At 51.4% G+C, this 22,844-nt stretch overlaps 1 protein-coding gene and 1 long non-coding RNA gene across 8 annotated transcripts in view, besides 3 other annotated features; one reads left to right on the top strand and one right to left on the bottom strand.

The window, feature by feature from the left end:
- The window catches only part of PAK4 (p21 (RAC1) activated kinase 4), a 57,031-nt gene continuing 45,769 nt past the window's right edge, over nt 11,583–22,844 (top strand). For all 7 annotated transcript variants that reach the window (NM_001014831.3, XM_011526316.2, XM_011526320.2 and 4 more), the window contains exon 1: nt 11,583–11,716. The gene's annotated coding sequence lies outside the window, so the exon portion shown is untranslated. The remainder of the gene's footprint in view (nt 11,717–22,844) is intronic.
- Nucleotides 17,702–18,283: an enhancer, noted in NCBI's record as "H3K27ac-H3K4me1 hESC enhancer chr19:39622545-39623126 (GRCh37/hg19 assembly coordinates)". NCBI's record gives its function as "activates a minimal SCP1, AML or CMV promoter by ChIP-STARR-seq in naive H9 embryonic stem cells {active_cell/tissue: H9 hESC(naive)}" and the evidence as "EXISTENCE:reporter gene assay evidence [ECO:0000049][PMID:30033119]".
- Nucleotides 18,284–18,864: an enhancer, noted in NCBI's record as "H3K4me1 hESC enhancer chr19:39623127-39623707 (GRCh37/hg19 assembly coordinates)". NCBI's record gives its function as "activates a minimal SCP1, AML or CMV promoter by ChIP-STARR-seq in naive H9 embryonic stem cells {active_cell/tissue: H9 hESC(naive)}" and the evidence as "EXISTENCE:reporter gene assay evidence [ECO:0000049][PMID:30033119]".
- PAK4-AS1 (PAK4 antisense RNA 1) lies at nt 19,984–22,360 on the bottom strand. The gene is made up of 2 exons (XR_007067254.1): nt 22,219–22,360; nt 19,984–21,001 (listed from the first exon to the last, which is right to left on the bottom strand). It is a non-coding gene; the product is annotated as a PAK4 antisense RNA 1 (long non-coding RNA).
- Nucleotides 20,938–21,683: an enhancer, noted in NCBI's record as "H3K4me1 hESC enhancer chr19:39625781-39626526 (GRCh37/hg19 assembly coordinates)". NCBI's record gives its function as "activates a minimal SCP1, AML or CMV promoter by ChIP-STARR-seq in naive H9 embryonic stem cells {active_cell/tissue: H9 hESC(naive)}" and the evidence as "EXISTENCE:reporter gene assay evidence [ECO:0000049][PMID:30033119]".

The following is a 22,844-nucleotide window of genomic DNA, read 5'->3' on the forward strand; positions in this document are numbered from 1 at the left end:
CTATTTGATCACACAACAAGATGACTATTCTCAATAATAATTGTACATTTTTAAATAACCAAAAGAGTGTAATTGGGTTGTAACACAAAGGATAAATGCTTGAGGGGATGGATACCCCATGCCTGTATCAAAATATCTCATGTACCCCATAAATACATACACTTACTATGGACCCAACAAAAATTAAAACCTAAGGCTGGGCACTGTGGCTTATACCTGCAACCCCAGCACTTTGGGAGGCCGAGGTGGGAGGATCACTTGAAGTCAGGAGTTTGAGACCAGCCTGGCCAACATGGTGAAACTCCGTCTCTAGCAAAAATACAATTAGCTGGGCGTGGTGATGTGCACCTGTGGTCCAGCTACTCAGGAGGCTGAGGTGGGAAAATCGCTGGAGTCCGGGAAGTTGAGGCTGCAATGAGCCAAGATCGCACCACTGCACGCCAGCCTGGATGACAGAGTGATATCCTGTCTCAAAAGTAAAAAAAAAATTAAATAAATTCTTAAAAAAGTAATAATTAATAATAAAATAAAACAGCTTTACCCTCCATACACCTCCCATCTCCCTTCTCTGCTTTATATTCCTTCAAGACACTGAGGGCTGGGAGCGATGGTTCATGCCTATAATCCCAGCACTTTGGGAGGCCAAGGTGGGCGGGTCACCTGAGGTCAAGGAGATCAAGACCAACCGGAGGTCATCGGGCTGGCCAACATGGTGAAACCCCGTCTCTAGTAAAAATACAAATTTAGCTGGGTGTGGTCATGCACACCTGTAATCCCAGCTACTTGGGAAGCTGAGGCAGGAGAATTGCTTGAACCTGGGAGGCAGAGGTTGCAGTGATTCAAGATAGCACCACCTGCACTCCAGCCTGGGTGACAGAGCAAGATTCCATCTCAAAAAAAAAAAAAAAAAGCATTTAGATCTTGTGACCCACTATATACATACATGTTTGATTATTTTTTTCCTTTTCTCCCCCAAGAGAATGTGAGCTCCCTGGACAACAGGGTTTTTTTGTTTGTTTGTTTTTTGCCAGTTCTGTCCCCTGCTGTTACCTTGGTCACTGGTATATAGTAGGTGCTCAATAAACATGGTTTACGTGGAAGAAAGAAGGAATGAGAAATAAAGGTAAGCTTAGCACAGGGCCTGGCACTGAGGGATGCTTATCAGTAGGAATGACAGTGACTTAGGTGACTCAGATAAAGGCTCAGCCCTCGGGAGCTCCCCGTGGCTGGGTGCGCAGCAGACAGGCACGCAGGACTGGTTGCAACACCTGCCCTGTGTGACGTGCACAGGAAGTTGCAGGTTGCAGGGCCAGAGACCCTGAAGCTTCTGAGAGGCGAAGCTGAGCAAGGTCTTTTTTTTTTTTTTTTTTTTTGAGACAGGGTCTCACTGTGCCGCCCAGGTTGGAGTGCAGTGGTGCAATCATGGCTCACTGCAGCCTTGGCCTCCCCAGGCTCAAATGATCCTCCCACTTCAGCCTCCCGAGTTTCTGGAACTACTAGGCGTGCCACCATACCCAGCTAATTTTTGTATTTTTTGTAGAGATGGGGTCTTGTTATGGTGCCCAGGCTGGCCTCCAACTCCTGGACTCAAGCAATCAGCCAGCCTTGACCTTCCAAAGTGTTGGGATTATAGGCGTGAGCCACCACGTCCCCCGCCACAAGGCTTTCAAAGGCCGCACAGATGCCTACGCTGCAGGCTGGGGTTGGGAGGTAGCGGGTGGTCCCAGAAAGGGAAGCAGGGCCACGGGGAGAGCTCATGGGAAGGCTGGGGGATCCATGGGGCTCTGGATTCATTCATCAATAAGTATTTATTTATTAAACTCCTTTGTTGCTCAAATCAGCCAGAAGTGGTTTCTGTTGATGGCAACTGAGAACCATGAAAGAAACATTGACCCCCTGTGAAGGGAAAACCTTTGAAACTGTGTTTTTTCTCTGCTCTCACACCACAACGGCCAGGTGCGGTGGCTCACACCTGTAATCCCAGCACTTTGGGAGGCCGAGGCAGGCGGATCACTTGAGGCCAGGAGTTGGAGACCAGCCTGGCCAACATGGTGAAAACCCATCTCTTCTAAAAATACAAAAATTAGCCAGGTGTGGTGGCAGGTGCCTGTAATCCCAGGTACTCGGGAGGCTGAGGCAGGAGAATCCCTTGAACCCGGGAGGCAGAGGTTGCTGTGAGCCGAGATCGCACCACTGCACTCCAGCCTGGGCAACAGAGCAAGACTCTATCTCAAAAAACAAAACAAAACGAAACACCACAACAACAATCATCAACATAGACTGTGATCAAACGCAGGGGGCGGGTTCTTCCACAGACCAGGCAGCAGACACCAGCTGGGTGTCCTCCAACTCATTTCTGACACCATCTACCCAAAGACGGCCTCAGATCCCACAGGTTGAGGGTTCAGTCCCACACACTGCTCCCTCCCTCCCCAGCCGCATGTCTGGGTCTCCGGAACTTCTGACTGGCCAGCTTCAAGTTAGGGTTTCCACGACCCCCTCTTGGGGTTCGATTTATTTGCTAGAGCGGCTCACAGAACTCAGGGAAACAGTTACATTTGCAGGTTTATGACTAAGGATATTTTAATGAAGAGATGCATAGGGTGAGCATAGCAGCTTCTGTCCCCATGGAGTTGGGGCGCACCACCCTCCCAGCACCTGGATGAGTTCTTCTTTTATTCTTATTTTTTGAGATGGAGTGTTTCACTCTTGTTGTCCAGGCTAGAGTGCAGTGGTGCAATTTTGGCTCACTGCAACCTCTGCTTCCTGGGTTCAAGCGATTCTCCTGCCTCAGCCTCCCAAGTAGCTGGGATCACAGGTACCTGCCACCACACCTGGCTAATTTTTGTATTTTCAGTAGAGACGGGGTTTCACCATGTTGGCTAGGCTGGTCTTGAACTCCTGACCTCAGGTAATCCACCCAACTTGGCCTCCCAAAGTGCTGGGATTATAGGTGTGACCGACTGCACCTGGCCTATTTTTATTTTATTTTTTGAGACAGCGTCTTGCTCTGTTGCCCAGGCTGGAGTGCAGTGGTGCAATTACAGCTCACTGCAGCCTCAACGTCCAGGGCTCAAGCAATCCTCCTGCCTCAGCCTCCCAAGTAACTGGGACCACAGGTGAGTTCCACCATGCCCGGTTAATTTTCTAAATTTTTTTTTTTTTTGTAGAGACAGCGGTGTGGGGCGAGGGGTAGGGGACGGGTCTTGCTGTGTTTCCCAGGCTGGTCTTGAACTCCTGGGCTCAGGTGACCCTCCTGCCTCCCAAAGTGCTGGGATTCCAGGCGTGAGCCACCACGCCCGGCCTGCATCTTATATTTTTATTGGCTAAATTTGGCCATCCTAAGATTGAGCAAGGGGGACATGGAGGGAGATGAGAATAGAGCATGTGGAGTGGGCAAAAAGTTGAGAAGGAGACTCGCAGATCCTACAAACACAGCCAAAGAGACAAACCTCTTGGAAGTTTTTTGCAAGGGCTTCTGTTATATGGGCTCCCTCCTTGGACAGGAGTCCCTCCTCCCAGCCCCTTCCTCCCTCCAGATCTTCAGTGCTTCTTTTCAGCAAATTTTAAAAATGGTAATAGTTTTATTTTATTTCAGGTGAGAAAGCAACACACTCATTGCTAAAAATATATAAACTCAAACCATGCAAAAAAGAATAAAGCAGACACAAACATGATAGTTATGTGAGGTAATGCATATGTTAATTAGCTAGAGTTAGTCATCCCAAAATGTATATATACTTCAAACATCGTGTTGTACACGTTAAATACATACACTTTTATCTGTTAATTTTTAAAAAGAGGGCTGAAATCCCACCACTTTGGGAGACCAAGGCAGGAGGATCGCTTGAGGCCAGGAGTTCAAGACCAGCATAGGCAACAAAGTGAGACACTCTCCCCGTCCTTGCTACCTAGCTAGCTAAATAAAAAAGAAATAATAAAATAAAATAAAAAGAATGTAGGCCAGGCGCGGTGGCTCACTCCTGTAATCCCAGCACTTTGGGAGGCTGACAAGGGCAGATCACCTGAAGTTACAAGTTCGAGATCAGTCTGGCCAACATGGTAAAATCCCGTCTCTACTAAAAATACAAAAAGAAATTAGCCAGGCATGGTGGTGTGCACCTGTAATCCCAGCTGCTCTGGAAGCTGAGGCAGAAGAATCACTTGAACCCGGGTGGTGGAGGTTGCAGTGAGCCTAGATTGCGCCACTGCACTCTAGCCTGATGAGAGAGAGAGTCCGTCTCCAAAAAAAAAAAAAAAACACAACATATTTATATGGCCTTTTGTTAAAATTGATAAACCAATATTGATATATTATTATTAACTAAAATCTAAATTTTATTCTACTGCATTTTAAAAACATTTTAATATAACTCTATTGAGATATAATTTTTTTTTTTTGAGACGGAGTCTCGCTCTGTTGCCCAGGCTGGAGTGCAGTGGCGAGATCTCGGCTCATTGCAAGCTCCACCTCTTGATTCATGCCATTCTCCTGCCTCAGCCTCCTGAGTAGCTGGGACTACAGGCACCCGCCACCACACCCAGCTAATTTTTTGTATTTTTAGTAGAGATGGGGTTTCACCGTGCTAGCCAGGATGGTCTCAATCTCCTCACCTCGTGATCCGTCTGCCTCGTTCTCCCAAAGTGCTGGGATTATAGGCGTGAGCCACTGCGCCCGGCCTTTTTTTTTTTTTTTTTTTTGAGACAGGGTCTCACTCTGTCACCCAGGCTGGAGTGCAGTGGTGTAATCTAGCTCACTGCAACCTCTGCCTCCCGGGTTCAAGTGATTCTCCTGCCTCAGTCTCCCGAGTAGCTGGGATTACAGGAGTGTGCCACCATGCCCAGCTAATTTTTTTTTTTTTTTTGAGACAGAGTCTCGCTCTGTTTCCCAGGCTGGAGAGCAGTGGCGCGATCTCGGCTCACTGTAACCTCTGCCTCCCAGGTTCAAGTGATTCTCCTGCCTCCGCTTCCCTAGTAGCTGGGACTACAGGTGCCCGCCACCACGCCAGACTAATTTTTTGTATTTTTAGTAGAGACGGGGTTTCACTGTGTTAGCCAGGATGGTCTCAATCTCCTGACCTCGTGATCAGCCCGCCTCGGTCTCCCAAAGTGCTGGGATTACAGGCGTGAGCCACTGCGCCTGGTAAATTTTTTGTATTTTTAGTAGAGATGGGGTTTCACTATGTTGACCAGGCTGGTCTTGAACTTCTGGCCTCAAGTGATTCACCTGCCTCAGCCTCCCAAAGTGCTGGGATTATAGGCGTGACCACCACGCCCGGCTTAAGCATCAGTTTTGAAATCAAGATTTCCTGGTTACAAGCCCAGCAGAGTTGCTTCCAGGTGGTGGGACTTTGTTCTACTTTCCACTCTATTTCTGTGCCTCAATTTCCTCATCTGTTAAGTGGAGCTAAAGATCCCACTTTAAATATAAATAGTGACAATTAGATAAGATCAAGTAGTTAGGCAGGGCATGGTGGTTCATGCCTATAGCCCAGCACTTTGGGAGGTGAAAGTGGGAGGATCACATGAAGCCAGGAGTTGGAGACCAGCCTGGCCAACATATCGAGACCCTGTCTCTACACAAAATTTAAAAATGAGCTGGGTGTGGTGGCGCATGCCTGAGTCCCAGCTACTCAGGAGGCTGAGGCAGAAGAATCACTTGAACCCAAGAATAAGAGGTTATAGTGAGCTTTATGATCCAGCCATTGTACTCCAGCCTGGGTGACAGAGAGACCCTATTTTTAAAACAAAACAAAAGATATGTAGGTAAAGTGGATTTAGAGAAGGTCTGGCATAGAGGGTAGGGAAAAACTTGGAAGCAACCCAAATGTCCAATAATAGGGGATTCAAGTACTTTTTTTTTTTTTTTTTTTGAGACAGGGTTTTGCTCTGTCACCCAGGCTGGAGGGCAGTGGCCGATCTCAGCTCACTGCAACCTCCACACACACCCCCTCCCCAACTGGCTCAAGTGATCCTCCCACCTCAGCCTCCCAAAGTGCTGGGCTATAGGCATGAACCACCATGCCCAGCCTGAGTGCCCAGAGTAGCTGGGATTACAGGCATGTGCCACCATGCCCAGCTAATTTTTGTATTTTAGTAGAGCTGGGGTTTCGCTATATTGGCCAGGCTGGTCTTGAACTCCTCATCTCAAATGATCTGCCTGCCTTGGCCTCCCAAAGTGCTGGAATTATAGGCATGAGGCACTGTGCCCGGCCCAAGTACATTATGATACATCAATAATATTACATATAAAAAGCAATAGTTATAATAAACATTAAAATAGTACTTACTAATGATGAATATTTGCATATATACACCTTTATCTATGTTTTTTTCCTAAAGAAAGCAACACTAGTCTTTCTTTCCCTTTAAGATCAGTTCCTAGAAGTAGAATTGCTGTATCAAGAGGTAGATAGGAATATTAAGTCTCTTAATAAATATCACCAAAAAGCTGCCCAGATCCAGTCCACAGTGGGGTATGAGAGTGCTGATGGCGTGTACTCTCATCAGCACTAATTATATATTATAATATATTAATATTTAAAAACATTTTTCTGAGAGACCAAAAGCAAATCTCAGTTTAATACTTATTTCATTAATTGCTTGTTCACCAATTCAATTTTTTTGTATTCACTGTTATTTATTTATTTATTTATTTTAGGTCCTTTGCCTGTTTTTTTCTGTTGTATGTTTACCTTTTTCTCTTATTGATCTGCAGATGTTCTTTACATATGAAAGACAGAAAGCTTTTCTTGCCATCCATATGTCACAACTTATCTTTTTCCTTGATGTACTGAAATGTATCATTTTTATGAAGCCAAATCCTCTTCACCCTCCTCGCCTTTTTCCATCCCTCAAGAGTCACCTCCTCAACATCCCCACTGGGAAGCCTTCTGTAGGAGGCTCTTTGGAGTCTGATTTTCCTCTCCCAGGGTCCTGGAGTAGCAGGGCCTGATTGCTCACCCTGAGTAAGCCCTTGGGGTAGATCTGTCCCTGGGATTGTTCCAGGGGTCTGACTATTGATGCAATCCCCAACTAAGTTACAAGGGGACTTCCCCAAAAATGAGTTCTAGAACCTAAGGCTCTGAAGTTTGTGCAGGGCGTTAAAGAGGCAAAGGCTGCACCTGCCCCTCCTCCCGTTACTATGACCTGAATAAGGTGTTGTCATCTCAGCTCCTGGTCTTGGTTTTTTGTTTTTTTTTTTTAATGAAGATTCTGCAAGACACACAAGCATTTCAAAAGAGTGCAAAAACAAGAATGTTTCATGCTGACAAGGATTATTTTTATTTATTTATTTATTTATTTATTTATTTATTTATTTATTTTTGAGACAGGGTCTTGCTCTGTCACCAGGCTGGAGTGCAGTGGTGCAATCTTTTTTTTTTTTTTTTTTTTTGAGACAGAGTCTCGCTCTGTTACCAGGCTGGAGTACAGTGGCTTGGTCTCGGCTCACTGCAACCTCTGCCTCCTGGGTTCAAGCGATTCACCTGCCTCAGCCTCCCAAGTAGCGGGGATTACAGGCACGTGCCACCACGCCCGGCTAATTTTTGTATTTTTAGTAGAGATGGGGTTTCACCATGTTAGCCAGGCTGGTCTTGAACTCCTGACCTCATGATCCTCCCGCCTCGGCCTCCCAAAGTGCTGGGATTACAGGCGTGAGCCACCGCGCCCAGCCAAGTGGTGCAATCTTGGCTCACTGCAACCTCCACCTCCGGATTCCAGCGATTCTCCTGCCTCAGGCTCCTAAGTAGCTGGGATTACAGACGCCTACCACCACGCCTGGCTCATTTTTGTATTTTTAGTAGAGACAGGGTTTCACCAAGTTGGCCAGGATGGTCTCGATCTCTTGACCTTGTGATCCGCCCACCTCGGCCTCCCAAAGTGCTGGGATTACAGGCGTGAGCCACCACGCCTGGCCCCCAGTGCTGACAAGGATTCTTTAAAGGGCGCATTCTCTCTGAAGGCTGGTGGGAGCGTGAGTTGGATCCCTACAGCACAATTTGGCAATGTGTGTCCCAGGCCATGAGGAGGCAGCAGAGGGCAGTCAATGAGAACAGTGCCCGGGAGTCAAAGCTGGGTTTGCCCCATTGGTCCTTGAGTTTGAGCAAGTGAAGTTACTTCTCTGAGCCTCAGTTTCCTCCTCTGGAAAAGGGATGAATATTCACAGCTTTAGCTGTTACAATTACATGGCTTAGCACCCTGCTTCCTGATGCACAGAAATGCTTGAAACATGGGAACTGTTACTATTCTTTTTTTTTTTTTTGAGAGTCTCACTCACTCTGTCACCCAGGGTGGAGTGCAGTGATGCCACCTCTGCCACCTCGGCTCACTGCAACCTCCGACTCCCAGGTTCAAGCGATTTTCCTGCCTCAGCCTCCTGAGTAGCTGGGATTACAGATGTGCACCACCATGCCCGGCTAATTTTTTGTATTCTTAGTAGAAACGGGGGTTTCACCACGTTGGCCAGGCTGGTCTCGAAATCCTGACCTCAAGTGATCCGCCTGCCTCGGCCTACCAAAGTGCTGAGATTCCAGGCGGAAGCCACCACACCCGGCCACTGTTACTATTCTTAATTCTTAAAGATACACCTTCTCCTTGACCCAGAAGTTTCATTTGTAGTAGGAACAATAATTAGAGACAGGCACAAGGAAATAATTAGAGATGGTCACAAATATTTAGCTGCTTGGATTTTGCATGACAGGGAGGGGGATTATTTATAATGGCAAGGTACTACAGCATAGATGTTCAAAAGGACAGTGATTAAACAAATTCGAGTTCATTGATAGGATGGCATCTTATGCAGCCATTAAAACTAATCTTCTTGAAGAATATTTAATGACATGGAAAGACACTGGTGATATTTACAATCTTGTGGTTTAAAAGACAACATTCTAGGCTGGGTGTGGTGGCTCACGCCTATAATTCAAACACTTTGGGAGGCCAAGGCGGGGCGGATCACCTGAGGTCAGGAGTTCGAGACCAGCCTGACCAACATGGAGAAACCCCGTCTCAACTGAAAATACAAAATTAGTTGGGCGTGGTGGCACATGCCTGTAATCTCAGCTACTGGGGAGGCTGAGGAGGGAGAATCGCTTGAGCCCGGGAAGCAAAAGTTGCAGTGAGCTGAGATCATGCCATTGTACTCCAGCGTGGGCAATGAGAGCAAAATTCCGTCTCAAAAAAAAAAAAAAAGACACAACATTCTTTACAAACGTATGTTTCCAATTCTGTCAAAAGAAAAAAGGGGTCAGTCATGGTGGCTCACACCTGCAATCCCAGCACTTTGGGAGGCTAAGGTGAGAGGATTGTTTGAGGCCAGGAGTTCAAGACCAGCCTGGGCAACACAGCGAGACCCCGTCTCTACTAAAAATTAAGAAAATTAGCCAAGCCAGGTGCAGTGGCTCATGCCTGTAATCCAACACTTTGGAAGGCCAAGGCGGACAGATCACTTGAGACCAGGAGTTCGAGACCATCCTGGCCAACATGGGGAAGCCCCGTCTCTACTAAAAATACAAAAATTAGCCGGGCATGGTGGTAGGCGCCCAGGAGTCGTTTGAACTCTGGAGGCGGAGGTTGCAGTGAGCCAAGATCATGCTACTACACTCCAGCCTGGGTGACAAAGTGAGATTCTGTCGAAAGAAAGAGGAAAGAAAGAAGGAAGGAAGGAAGGAAGGAAAGAAAGAGAAAGAAAGAAAGAAAAAGAAAGAAAGAAAGAAAATTAGCCGGTGTGGTGGCTTATGCCTATAGTCCCAGCTACTTGAGAGGCTAGGTTGGAAGGATCACTTGAGCCCAGGAGTTTCAGACTGCAATCCCGCCTGGGCGACAGAGTAAGACCCCTATCTAAAAAAAAAAAAAAAAACAAAAAACAAAACAAACAAAAAAAAAAACGAATGAACAAATAAAAAGAAAAAAGATAGGTAAACATAAAGAAAAATTAACTCATCATTCAATCATTCATTCATTGTTGCCACCGACATTAGTAGAAATTAATTAAATGCCTACTATGTGGCTGTTCTGGGGCAGAGGAGAAGCACCAAACATTTAAGAGTATCTCTGAAGGGGTGGAATTACCACGCATTCAAACAGCCCTTCCACCAATGTTTACTGAGCATCTACATGCCAACAGTGCTGGGGCACTGGGAATGCAGCAGTGAACAAAGACAGAAATCCATGTTGTCATGGGGCTGACATTCCAGCAGAGGAGACAACCAACAAGCAATAACTACAATTAGGAGTGAGAAATAAGAACAAAGCAGACAGAGTTTGGTAGTATGTGAGAGGGATGTTTGCTGCTTTCCTTAGGGTGAGCGAGGGAATTAGTTCACAGAGAAAGTGACATCTGTGTAAAGCCCTGAAAAAAGGGAGGGAGAGATAAGGATACCTGGGGGAAGAGTATGTTCCAGGCAGAGGAACAACCAGTGCAAAGACTGTGAGGTGAGAGCGCACCTGACAAGAGTTCAGGAACAGCATGAAGGCTGGAGTCCAGTGAATAAGATCCAGGAGGAGAGATGTCTGGCCGGGCGCAGTGGCTCACGCCTGCAATCCCAGCACTTTGGGAGGCCGAGGCAGGAGTATAGTTTGAGCCCAGGAGTTCGAGACCAGCCTGGCCAACACAACAAAACTCTCTCTTTAAAAATAAAAGAAAAAGGCCAGCTTGGTGGCTCACACGTGTAATCCCAGCACTCTGGGAGGCCGAGGCGGATAGATCACCTGAGGTCAGGAGTTCGACCTGGCCAACATGGTGAAACGCTGTCTCTACTAAAAATACAAAAAATTAGCTGGGTGTGGTGGTGGACGCCTGTAATTCCAGCTACTCAGGAGGCTGAGGCAGGAGAATCTCTTGAACCCGGGAGGCGGAGGTTGCAGTGAGCTGAGATCGCGCCATTGCACTCCAGCCTGGGCAACAAGAGCGAAACTCTATCTCAAGACAAATAAATAAGTAAAAATAAAATTTAAAAAAATTTTTAAAGAAGATGTCTGCTGTTTGTTTTCAATATTTTGACCAATTACTTCGTAAAAACTTATTTAAAAATTGAAGAGCAAACAGTCTCAGGTTCCCGGGCTCAGACAGACCAGCGTTCAAAACTCATTACCTTCTTTCTATGATGCTAAGCCAGCTATTTCACCCTCTGAACCTCTGTTTCTTTATCTGTAAAATGGGTATTAATGATATTATACCACAGGGTTGTATATGCAGCGAGAAAATGCAAGTAAAACACTTATCCCGGTGCCTGCCTCCTAGTAAGTGCTTAAGAACTGTTTCTGCCCATTAACTCATTACTTTCTCCCAGCCCCTAACTCCTTCTGGGGGGGAAGTTAGAAAATCGGTATCACACGAAAACAGTCATTTCCCCTTTAAGGACCTCAGTGGGCCGGGAGCCAGCCTTCCCGCACCTTTTCCAAAATTTCCAATCCCCGCTTGGCATTTTCTGCCCGAAGGTCTCCGATTGGACGCTCTGTACCAATCGGAGGCTGGAGCGGGCCCTGAGAGGCGCCCGACTCCGCCCCCGCACTGGCCCTGCCCACTGCCCGGTCAGCCTCGTTGCTATGGGGACTGGTGGGCGGTGAGGGGGGAAAGCCCCGGATGTTCGTTGGGGATTCAACATGGCGGCGGGAGTGTCCGCGGTGGTGGCGGTGCAAGAGAGCTGAGGGAGGCGCGAGGGCGCGGAGTTCCAGGTCGAGCAGTTAGGCCGCGAGCGACTGCGGCGCCGAGCCGGTAGGATAAGGGGTCCGGCCAGGGGCTTGCGGTGGGCCGGGCGCTGGCGGCGGGACGGCGTTTCCGCGAGGAGGGGGGCGGGGCCGCCGGGGTCAAAGGTCACTGGTGGAGGGAAGGGTCGCGTCCGAGGGGTCGGGGGTTAACGCAGACTGGAGGGAGTTGTAGTGGAGGTCGGAGATCAAACCAGCGAAGGGGGCGTGGCGAAGGGGAGTGCAAAGTTTGAAATTCGAAGTGGGGGCGCGTTCGAGGGGTTCTGGGCGAGTCTCAAAAAAGGCAGGGTCAAAGTTAATAATTTGAGGGAAGGCTGCCCCCACGAGGGTCAGAGGTCACAGCCCCAGGGGCGCCAGGTTGGAGGTTTAAAGCTGCCCCTAGCGGAGCAGATGAATGAGTTTTAGGTTCGGGGGCGTCTTTTAGGGGTTCAAAGCTGGGGCGTGCCTAGAAGGTACAAAGGTGAGAATCTGACAGCGGGGCAGCTGTTTCCCAGAGTCAAAAATTAAAACCCAAGGAGGGCGTATTGCGGGGGACGGGGGGGGGGGGGGGGGCCGGGTCAGAGATGCTTCCTGGTGACAGGAGAAGGGGGAACCCTCCCACAAATAATAATGGCAAACACTCATGAAACACTATGGGCTAGACCCTCTTTTTAACGCTTTACTTGTATGAGCTTATTCAGTCCTCACTATAGTCTTAGGGGGTCTTAACCTGGTATTAAGAGGTTAAGTGATTTGCACAAGGTCACCCGATGCATAAGTTGTGCGCTGGGATTCTAACTCCGGAGTTCTGGCCCAGAGCCCTGCTCTGGCCGACCGCCTCTCAAATCATCATAATGTCGGTTAATGTTTAATGAGGGCTCACACTGTGCTCCACGCCCTGTGTGCCCGGTCGTATTTCACTCCTGCTGCAATCTTGTGAAGTGAGTGCTCAAGATGAACCTACTTTACAGACGGGAAAAATGAGGCTCAGAAGCTTCTGCTGAAGGCAGAGTTAGAATCGAAGCTGGGCCTGGGTGATTCCAGGGCTCCTGCCCCTGGTCGCCACATTGTCCGCTGCCAGCCATTAGGTCTCTCCTGGAAGCAGGGGGCTGGGCAGGGCTGGGCCACTCCCTGGGCGGATCGGATTGTCTGCTTGGTTTCCTTGGAAGGGTGTGATCTGGCAGGGAAGATTCCTGTGAGCCTATGGGAGTAGGGTGTTTGTAGGTGGTCTGGAGTCCGAGCAAGGGAGTCCGACGGGCTTCTGACTGGGGAGAGTGTCCCTGGGTGGTACCCTGGGCAGAGCGGGGTGTTCACTGTTCTTAAAACCCTAAGCTCTCACTGTGGTCCTTAGTCACTCCCACCTCACTTCTTATGGCTCTGCCCATTTCTCCCCAGCCCCTTTACTGTTCTCCAACTCCAGGCCCATGCCTCCCGCCCGGTCTTTGACCTTCCTGTTCCTTCTGCTGGGAATCCTTTCCCCACCCTGCCCTCTCTCACTGACGGGTCGCTCACTCTCAGCTGGCCCGGGACCACCCTGGCTCGCCTTGCTGCAGGCTCTTTTTCTCTCATCTGACCAGCCCTTACCTCCCTCCTTACCTTAATTATTAGGGTGCATGGTGGAATTGCTCTGTGGGGTTCCTTGCCTCGGTCCCCACTGAAGCCCTGCCTGGCCTGCAGAGGATGTGACATTGCTGGGGGTTGACTGTTGGGCACTGTGCCGGGTGCTGGGAGTGTGGCAGGGGACGAGATCCACAGAGCCCCTAGCCTCAGAGGGCACTCAGTTCCCTGGTGGGAGCAGAGTGGAACCAGCCCCCAAGCCAGTGACACAAGACTGCGTCTCTGCAAACGGTGATGTGGCTTGCGAGGGCATCTTCAGAGAGCCGGGAGAGTGCCCCTACCCTGGGCTGAAGCCTGAGTCCCTTTCCCCTGGGAAGGCTCTGAAGGATGGGGAGGAGGGCTGGGAATGGGCTTACCAGGCAGGAGGAGCAGTGTGTGCAGAGGCCCTGGCATGACTGGAGGTCAGGACTCGGGTGCACAGTTGGGGATCTGGGCAACACGTAGCCTGTGCAGGTTCAGGGCAAGACGCTGAGGGGACTCAGCTTTGGAGGGACGGTGGGAGCAGGGGAGGGCTGAGGAGTACCTGTATGTGTGGAGCTGCCTGAGGCCTTGATGGAGCGTGATTCAGAAAGCAGTGCTGGGCCAGAGATGCCTGGTACACACCCCTCTCCATCACTCACAGAGCATGTGAGGACCTCCGTTTCCACTTCTGCAAGATGGGCATAGTGTTAGCGCTGCCTCATAGAATTGCTGTGAGGATGCAGGCTAGAGAGCCTTGGCCCAAGGCCTGGCATACAGTAGTTGCTGTGTAAGCATTAGTCTTGCTGCTGCTGCTGCTGCCACCCCACCACTGCCTGGGGAGGGCCTCAGAGACAGTGGAGGCCCTCGCTCCACCTGCCTCCTGGCTTTCTCTGGCAGCCACCCCATCCCTACCTGGCTCTGGCAGGGTCAGGGAGCCGGCACACTGCCAGGCAGCCCTCTGAGGCTGGCCCAGCCTCCCAGCCTTGCAGTGCCAGCTCACTCAGCATCTCAGGGTTTGGCACAGATAAAGAAGGATAGGGTTTGGGCATTGGAGACCCATATTCAGGTCCCTCCCTTGTCACTTACCAGCCATGGGACAAATGATTTATTTGCCACTTTTATTCCTTCAACACGTTTGGCTAGGGGAAAAAGGGCTTTCAGTATAATGAAACACTCATGCATCCGGCCATCGTCTGGCCTGGGACAGAACACACCGTGATACAGTTAGAGGCCAAGGGTCTCCTCCTCACCCCCCCTCCTCCCTCCCTTCCAGGGGCAGCCTCTGTCCTGGGTGTGGCAGTCACCATTCCTCTGCAGCCTTTCATACTTTGACTGCCCTTGAATGTATTCACCAACAGTAGAGCAACAGCTCTTGCCCCTGGCTGCACATTGCAACTCCCTGGAGAGCTTTGAAAAGATGCCTTGGCCCAGGCCCGCCATGGAAATTCTGCTTCCAACTTACTTGGTCTGGGCTGGGGCTGGCCTCAGGCTTTTGGAAGCTCCCTGGGCAGTTCTTATGGCCAGCAGGGGCTGACGACTGTTGTTTCACAGTTCAGATAAATGGTGTCACCATAAACATGCCTTTCTGCAAGTTGCTGTTTTTGTTCAACATTATAGGTATATTTGAGATGGGATCTTGCTATGTTGCCTAGACTGGACTCTTAACTCCTGGGCTCAAGCTATCCTCCCACCTCAGCCTCTGGAGTAGCTGGGATTACAGGCGCGCACACCTGCTCCCCGCTTTGAGCTGAGCATTGGAGTCTGGATGTCTCTTGGTGGGGATGTGTGTAGGCCTGGGACAGGCCATTTGTTTTTCCTGATGGTGTTTCTTTTTGTGATCGTGTCACACAGGAGTTGCCTGTTCACCTGTTGATGGCCACTGAGGTGGTCCGTTGGAGCTATAACCGTGCAGCAGTGGGCCTTCTGGAACGCGTGTTCCTGTAGACCATGGCCAGAGTCTCTCTGGCATATGCCTAGTAGTGGAAAAGCCGGAGCTCCCCGCTTTCCTAGCGGTTGCCAAGTCATGCCCCCAGTGGCTGGACCACTGTGCTCCCCAGCAGGCTCCGGGGCTCCCTTTATTTCAAGTCCTGCTTTGGGCAGCTTTGTGGCCCTCACTGAAACGATTTCCTCGGCCGTGACATGGGAGGTTTATGGGCCCACCCACCCACCCACCAGGCTGTTTGGAAACAGATGGGGAGATGGTTCACACAACTGGCTTAGCTGGGACCTCGTCCCCACTGACTCCCTACAACCACAGGAGAAGAAAGGATGGAAGGGCTTTCACCTTTACCCCCTTGGGCATCCAGGACGGTGACTGCAGCTTTGCCCCAACTGCCCTTGGGGGCAGGTGCCAGGGGTGACAGCTGGGAAAGAGAACTATACTGATTCGAACCTCTCAGGAGGGAGGCAGGGAGGACGGAGGTGAAAGTTGGAGGATGGGTGAGGCCTTGTAACATTCTTTCTGTGTATCTGACTGTTGGTCCCAGTGGTAACCAACACAGCCCAGCTCTACCCTTGTAGATTATAGTACAGTGAAGGAGACAGACCTGCTGTCCCCAGACGGTGACAGCCCAGAGAGGCCAGGGCTGTGAAGGAGAGGCCTAGGCGAGGGTCAGGGCGGGATGTGGGGGGGACCCAGGCAGAAGGGTCAGGGCGGGATGTGGGGGGGACCCAGGCAGAGGGGTCAGGGTGGGGTGGTGGGACCCAGGCAGATGGGTCATGGCGGGATGGGAGCGGGGACCCAGGCAGAGGGATCAGGGTGGGACTGGGGGGGACCCAGGCAGAGTGGTCAGAGAAGGATGGGGAAACCCAGGCAGAGGGGTCAGGGCGGGATGGGGAAACCCAGGCAGAGGGGTTGGGGCTGGATGGTGGGGAGGGGCACAGAGAGGGATTGGGACTGGGATGGAGGCGCAGGGACCGTAGGAAGCCCGAGGAGGCATGTGGCCCAGCGTGGGGAGTTGAGGAGGGCTTTCTGGATAAGATGACATCTGACTGATGAGAACATATGAGCGAGGCTGGAAGGAGGTGGAAAGAATGTAACAGGTCATGGGTACGGAAGTGCCAAGGCCCTGAGGGTCGGAATGACCTCGGAATGGTCGAGGATCATCAGATAGGCCGGTGTAGGCTATGCTGTGCACCCTGACTGTGTGGTAGCCTTGCTCTGCAAAGAGCAGTTAAAGAAATACATAAAATATAAAATAAATAAATAAATAAAAAAGCAAAAAAAAGAAGCCAGTGTGGCTGAGCAGGGGGTGGGGTCAGAGGCTTGGAGGCGGTGTTGGATACAGCAGGGCCTAGCAGAGCCAGGTGGGGTGTGTGGATTCCATTCTGTGCATAATGGGAAGTCATCAGAGGCTTTAGTGACATCTGGTTTTCCCCTTATAAAGATTGCTCAGGCTGCTGTGTGGGGGACGGATCGCGGGGGGTGGCGACAGGGAGGCTGTGGGGAGGCTGCTGTGACAGTCCAAGCAGAAGAGGGTGGAGAAGACGAGGGGACAGTGATGGAGGAGCGTCCTCGTGCCAGCTGAGGTCATCAGCGCTTTACCCCTGTTACCTCACTTCATCTTCACAGCAACCTGTGAAGTAGGTGCTAGTATCATCCTCACTCTAGAGATGAGAAAGGAGGCCCAGAGAGGTACGGGACTTGCTTAAGGTCACACAGCAGGCAGTGGCAGAGGTAGGATTGAACCCCAGGCCTTGGGGCTTCAGTGTCACTGATTACTGGGGCTGCCCTCCCGTGGTTTGGAACTGGCTCGGACAAGACAGGCCTGATTCCTGTTCAGCTGGTTCTTACCCAGGCTCCTTTGTTGACAGAAGTTCCGTGGAGACCTGTTCCCCCTGGGTAGTTTCTGGGCGCTGGGTCCCTACCTCCCTCAGGGCCTCCCTTTCCTTTCTCATCTACTCCTCGTCCCACTGGCTCGTGGTGAGCCAGACTTCCTGGCCAGACACCGGTCAGGGGTGTCCCCAGCAGCTGTTTCTCCCATCACCGAGCCCAGCCCCGCACATGCTGCCAGCAGGAAGCAACCTCCTTCCAAGTCATGGCCAGGGAAGTGGGACCCTTCCCGCCTAGTCACCCATCCGGGGCCAAGGCTTCTTGTCTGCCAGACGCCTTGGCCCACAGGAAGGTTGGAGGGGCCGAGGAGGGTGAGAAGGGGAACACTCTCCCATCCCAGGGGAGCCAGCGCTGGCGGATGCGACAGAAGCCACCGCTCACTGAAGCCTCTCTCCTGGGACCCTCCGGTCCTGCCCCGACCCTTCCCAGGCTGGGAGGCCATCTGCTGCCTTCCCGAGGGGCAGTGGAACTTCCCTGCCAGGGCTGCTCAGTCCACACACATCCCTTAGCCTTTTTCACTAGCTGGGAGCCCCTGGGGAAGAGACAAAGAACTTCCCTGGGCCTCTGATTCCTCACCTGTTACAGGGAGTATTGGTGGCCACCTCTCAGGGCTGTGGGAGGGCGGAAGATCATGTGTGTGCGTCGTGCTTAGCCCGATGCTCAGCACTCAGTAAGTGCTTGGTAAATGTTGAACTTGGTGCGTTCGATGGTTTCCGTCCCTTGCACCCTGTCCCCCTCTGGGTTCTCATCCCGTAGTGAGCTGTAATAACCCCAGCCCCCCGCCCGGGGTCCCAGCTCCACGTGCCAGGCACGCGTGTGCTGTGAGTCTATGAGCATGGTCATGTGGCTGTACCCAGAGACCCTGAGGAGGAGGTGTTTTTAACCTCGTTTCTCTTTTCCCGTGTTTCAATTTTCAGAAAGCACGTTTTTCCTCCATGTGCATGCATTACCTATTCCCCTAAATAATCACTGAAAAACTGCACACAGCACAAAAGGATGTACAGGGACGAGCAAATCTCTTTCCCACCCGCCTGCCAGGCCCTTCCCAGAGATAGCATCATCACCCCCGGTTTCTTTTCTTTCTTTCTTGAAATATTTGTTCCCCCAAGTGCCCGCCCCTCCCTTTTGTTTTTACTCAAATGGAGCGGACTTCCCATGTTTATATTCTGTCCTGTGCTTTGCGTTTCCCACTCCGAAGCTCGCTGTCAGGACACAGAGTGCCGCCTCGTGTCCCACGCACACGCGTGCCCCCACGGACAGCACAGCCATTCTGTGCTGATGGCCATCAGGCCATTCCCATCTTTCCGTGCTGTGAACAGGGCTGCGCCCGCCTGAGTGTGGCTGTGCATATGTCTCTAGGTGTGAGTCTGAGCTTGTGGCCTCGTGGTCTGAGACAGGTGCCCCGTTAACTTTGCCGGTAGTGTTAGTGTTTCACCCTGCTGGGGAGGTTGTCTGGCTCACACTCCCACCCCCCAGTGTCTGATGACACCGGGGTTTCCTCACTCCCTTGCTGGAATAGACGGGTGTCACCTGACATTCTCACCTTTGCCAGTCAGATAGGTGACAAACAGTCTCATCATGGTTCTGATTTTAATCAGAGCAAAGTGGGACAGCTTTGTGTTGTTGAAAGCCATCTTGAGCTTCCTTTTCTTGGAGCTGTCTATTCCTGATAATTTTACTTTCTCTGAGAAGGGGAAACTGAGGCACAGGCCAGCAGTCCCACAGCAAATACGTGGCAGATGTGGCACTCAAACCTTGGCTCCGTTCTGGAGCTCCTAACCCATCTGACACAGAAGAGGTCAAGGGCTTGGCCTCCGGAGCCAGCTTTGTCTCTTACTAGCAGTGTGACCCCAGACAAGTCACATCACCTCTCTGTGCCCGGGTGTCCTCATCTGTAAAATGAGGGTGCTAATGATATCTACTCTTAGAGTTGTTTTGAGGATCTAAATGTATATTCGGCAGGCAAAATGTATAGTAAGTGCTCAAAGACTGTTAGCTGCGTTACTAATAGCCGTATTATTAATATTATAGCTATGTCACCAATAGCCATGTTATTAATATGAGCAGGCACTGTTTGAGTGCTTTCTGTGAACTAACCTACTGGACCCTCCCATCAACTCCAAGACACACGTGTTCTTAGGATCTCCCTTTTCTAGGGAGGAGACTGAGAGCCTGGGGGACCTGGCCCCGTCACAGAGCAAGAGGAACTGGGATTTGGATGCTGGAGGCCTGGCTGGTAATCGCTGTGGCCGCTTCCCCTGCTACCCGGGGCTAAGCCTGAGGGTTACAAAGCTCTCCCTCCTGCTTCCCCCACCCACCTTCTGCTGTCTGCATTCCAGGCAGGCTGCCCAGGAGCTTTCGAGCAGACACCTTGAGGGTTGGGAGCACCGGGTGGGCAGGGTCCTCACCTAGAGAGCTCCCCGTCCCAGACCCTCCCTGCTCCTGCCACCTGTCCTGGGAACTCCTGATAAAGCAGCATTGTGCAGCGGTTTTGAGTTCACTTCCCAGCCCGGTTTTGCCACTCCCACACTTCACTCCCAGAGGCGGAAGGCGGCCGGTCTTCCTGGGCTGCGTGGGGTGCCAGCCCCCCTCCCCTTCCCTTCCCTCCCTCACTGCGCCCACAGTCACCGGTCAGCACTGGCCATGGGGAGAAAGTAGGACCCTGCGGGCCACTGGCCCCTCCACAGACCCGTCCCCAGGTGAAGACCCCTCCCTGCCCTCCCCACAGGAGGCCCCTGTCCTTCTCTCCCGAGGAACCCTCCTTCCCTGCCGCCCACAGGGGCCTCCATAGTTCTGTCGTCCCTTCCCCGCAAATCTTCCACTGCAGCCTGGGCCCACGTTATTTGACTCTCAAATGCTATATATATACACAGCGCTTCTAACTCCACTGCTTTTAAAAAACCTTTAATAATTGTCAATTATAATATGCCCATAGAAAAGTGCATAAAATGCACAGGTAAGTTTAGCAAAGAATTACAAAGTGAACAACGCTTCCCCACCACCTCGGTAAAGACAGAACACAACCTCCCAAAAGCCGCCTGCCCATAACCCCTGTCCATCACGACCACAGTCGTGAGTGCTCTCCTGACCTTGGTGGTCACTGTGTCCTTGCTTTTCCTGATAGTTTTTACCATGAGGTATGCATCCTTGAATTACAGAATGTCATCTTGCCTGCTTTTGAACTTGACATAAATGGAATCTTCCAGTATGTCCTTGTCTGTGCTTTCTTTCGCCCTTAGGCCTGTGAGATCCATCTGTGTGCTGAGTGTATCTGTAGTCATTCATCTTTGTTGCTGTATAATATTCTTTTTTTTTCTTTGACACAGAGTCTCGCTCTGTCACCCAGGCTGGAGTGCAGTGGTGCAATCTTGGCTCACTGCAGCCTCTGCCTCCTGGGTTCAAGCGATTCACCTGCCTCAGCCTCCCGAGTAACTGGGATTACAGGCATACACCGCTATGCCTGGCTAATTTTTTTTTTTAATTTTTAGTAGAGAGGGGGTTTCACCACGTTGGCCAGGCGAGTCTTGAACTCTTGACCTCAGGTGATCCACCCACCTCAGCTTCCCAAAGTGCCGGCATTACAGGCGTGAGCCACTGTGCCCAGCCCCATATAATATTCTGTTCCTCCATCTCCTGCTGCGCTGATGCGAGCCATCTCTTTGTAGCATCTCCTGGGGTGCCGGTGCCTGCGTTTCTTCAGGGAATATACCCAGGAGTGCGTAGCCCAGGGCAGAGGGTGGGGTAGCTTCAGATTTAGTGGGCGCTGCCACACAGCCTCCCAAGGTGGTCAAATCTGTGTATCCTCCTAGCGGTGGTGACTGAGGATCTTAGTTGCTCCACCTCCTCACCAACATTTGGTACCGTCAGACTTTTTGGTTGACCTTGGAACATTTTTATTCTTTTTTCCTGCAAAAGTAACACCACTGGTTATCATCGGGCTGAGCCCCTCATGTTATTTTGTCCTCCCCTTGCTCCTGTCCATTCCGACTCTCACCCATTCTGTGGACAGGAGTCAAGTGCTTATTCTTTTTTTTTTTTTTTTTTTTTTTTTTTTTGAGATGGAGCCTTGCTCTGTCACCAGGGCTGGAGTGCAGCAGCGCGATCTCAGCTCACTGCAACCTCCGCTTCCCAGATCCAAGCCATTCTCCTCCCTCACCCCCTCAAGTAGCTGGGATTACAGGCATGTGCCACCACGCACGGCTAATTTTGTATTTTTAGTAGAGACAGGGTTTTACCATGTTGGCCAGGCAGGTCTCAAACTCCTGACTTCAAGGGATCCACCTGCCTCAGCCTCCCAAGGTGCTGGGATTACAGACGTGAGCCACTGCGCCCTGCCCAAGCGTGTATTCTTTGACCAGCTTTGCGCTGGGGCCCAGCGACTGAAGGGTGAACCCAAACAACAGGCAGCCCTCCCCGAGCTCAGTCCAGTGGGAACACAGACCTCGACTGCAGAGCAACAGAAAGATAAGCCGGGCTGGAGGCTCCCGGCCCCCATCTTCCCACAGTGACCCCATTTTGGGAACAGGAACCCCCATCCCTCGTCTTGTTTCGGGATTAGGCTTCTCCAAATCTGGCACCCTATCACCTTGACTCCTCTCTTGCCCCCCCGCCACATCCAAAGTGTCTGGAAAGCCTGTCACTCTACATGACAATGTAACCTGGTGCTGCGGGCTCCTCTTCCTTGTCACTCCCCTTCCTCGTCATCCCCCTTCTTCGTCACCCCCCTTCCTCGCCACCCCCTTCCTGGTCACACCTCTTCCTCGTCACCCTTCTTCCTTGTCACCCCTCTTCCTCGTCACCCCCCTTCCTCATCATCCCCCTTCCTCGTTACCCCCCTTCCTTGTTACCCTTCTTCCTCGTGGCCCCCTAGTTCAAGCCACCCTCATCTCCCTCCTGGACCATTGAGGCGTGCTCCCTGCTCCCTTCTCCCCCACTGTCCCCACAGTTGTCCGCACACAGCCAGAGGTAGCCGTGCACACCTGGTCAGGGCAGGAACCCTCCCCTGGCTCCACCTCTCCCAGCAGAGAAGCTTGCAAGGTCCCAGGCAACCTGGCCACTTTCCTGCCTGCCCTGCTTCCCTCTTCTCCTGCCACCATTCCTGGAACATTCCAGGCAGGTCCTACCCCGGGGCCTTTGTTCTTGCTGCCCCCTGGGCAGGCAGCACCCTCCTTCCTTCTGTTCAGTCAGCCTCTGCTGACAGTGGCCCCCTTGGGGAGATGTTTCTTCCCGACCATGGGTCCCCAGGAGCAGCCCCTGTCACCCTCCCTCTAGCACCTTCCCCCGGTAACCCTCATGATGGTTACTTCCATTATGACATGTGGGTCTGTTGGTTTATTTTGTCTCCCGGCATAACGTAGCCTCAGGGCATGGGGGTAGGGGTAGAACCACAGGGCCTTGCCCTGCCCCTTGCTATGTTCTCAGGGATTGGAGTGTGGTAGTCTCTCAGTAAATGCTGGTTGACTGACTGACTGACTGACTGACTGAACTGTAGTAAGCTGGGCTGCCAGAGCGTCTAATGGGGACCCGCCCTGGGTGGGGCACACCGGGAAGGTTTTCCTGAGGAGGAAATGCCACTTGAAGGATGAACTTGGCCTCGACTAAGGGAGGAGGCTGAGGCAGCTGCCATTGCAGAGGTCTCCCGGCGGGGGAGTGCAGGGGGCCTTTGAGGAATTGAAGGAAGACAGGTAGGTCGGTTCTTGGGTTGGTCTGGATTCCAGTCTTGACAGCTGCTTGGGCCTCTCTCTGCCTC

Source organism: Homo sapiens, chromosome 19 (assembly GCF_000001405.40).
Source record: "Homo sapiens chromosome 19, GRCh38.p14 Primary Assembly".
NCBI classification, from domain to species: Eukaryota; Metazoa; Chordata; class Mammalia; order Primates; family Hominidae; genus Homo; species Homo sapiens.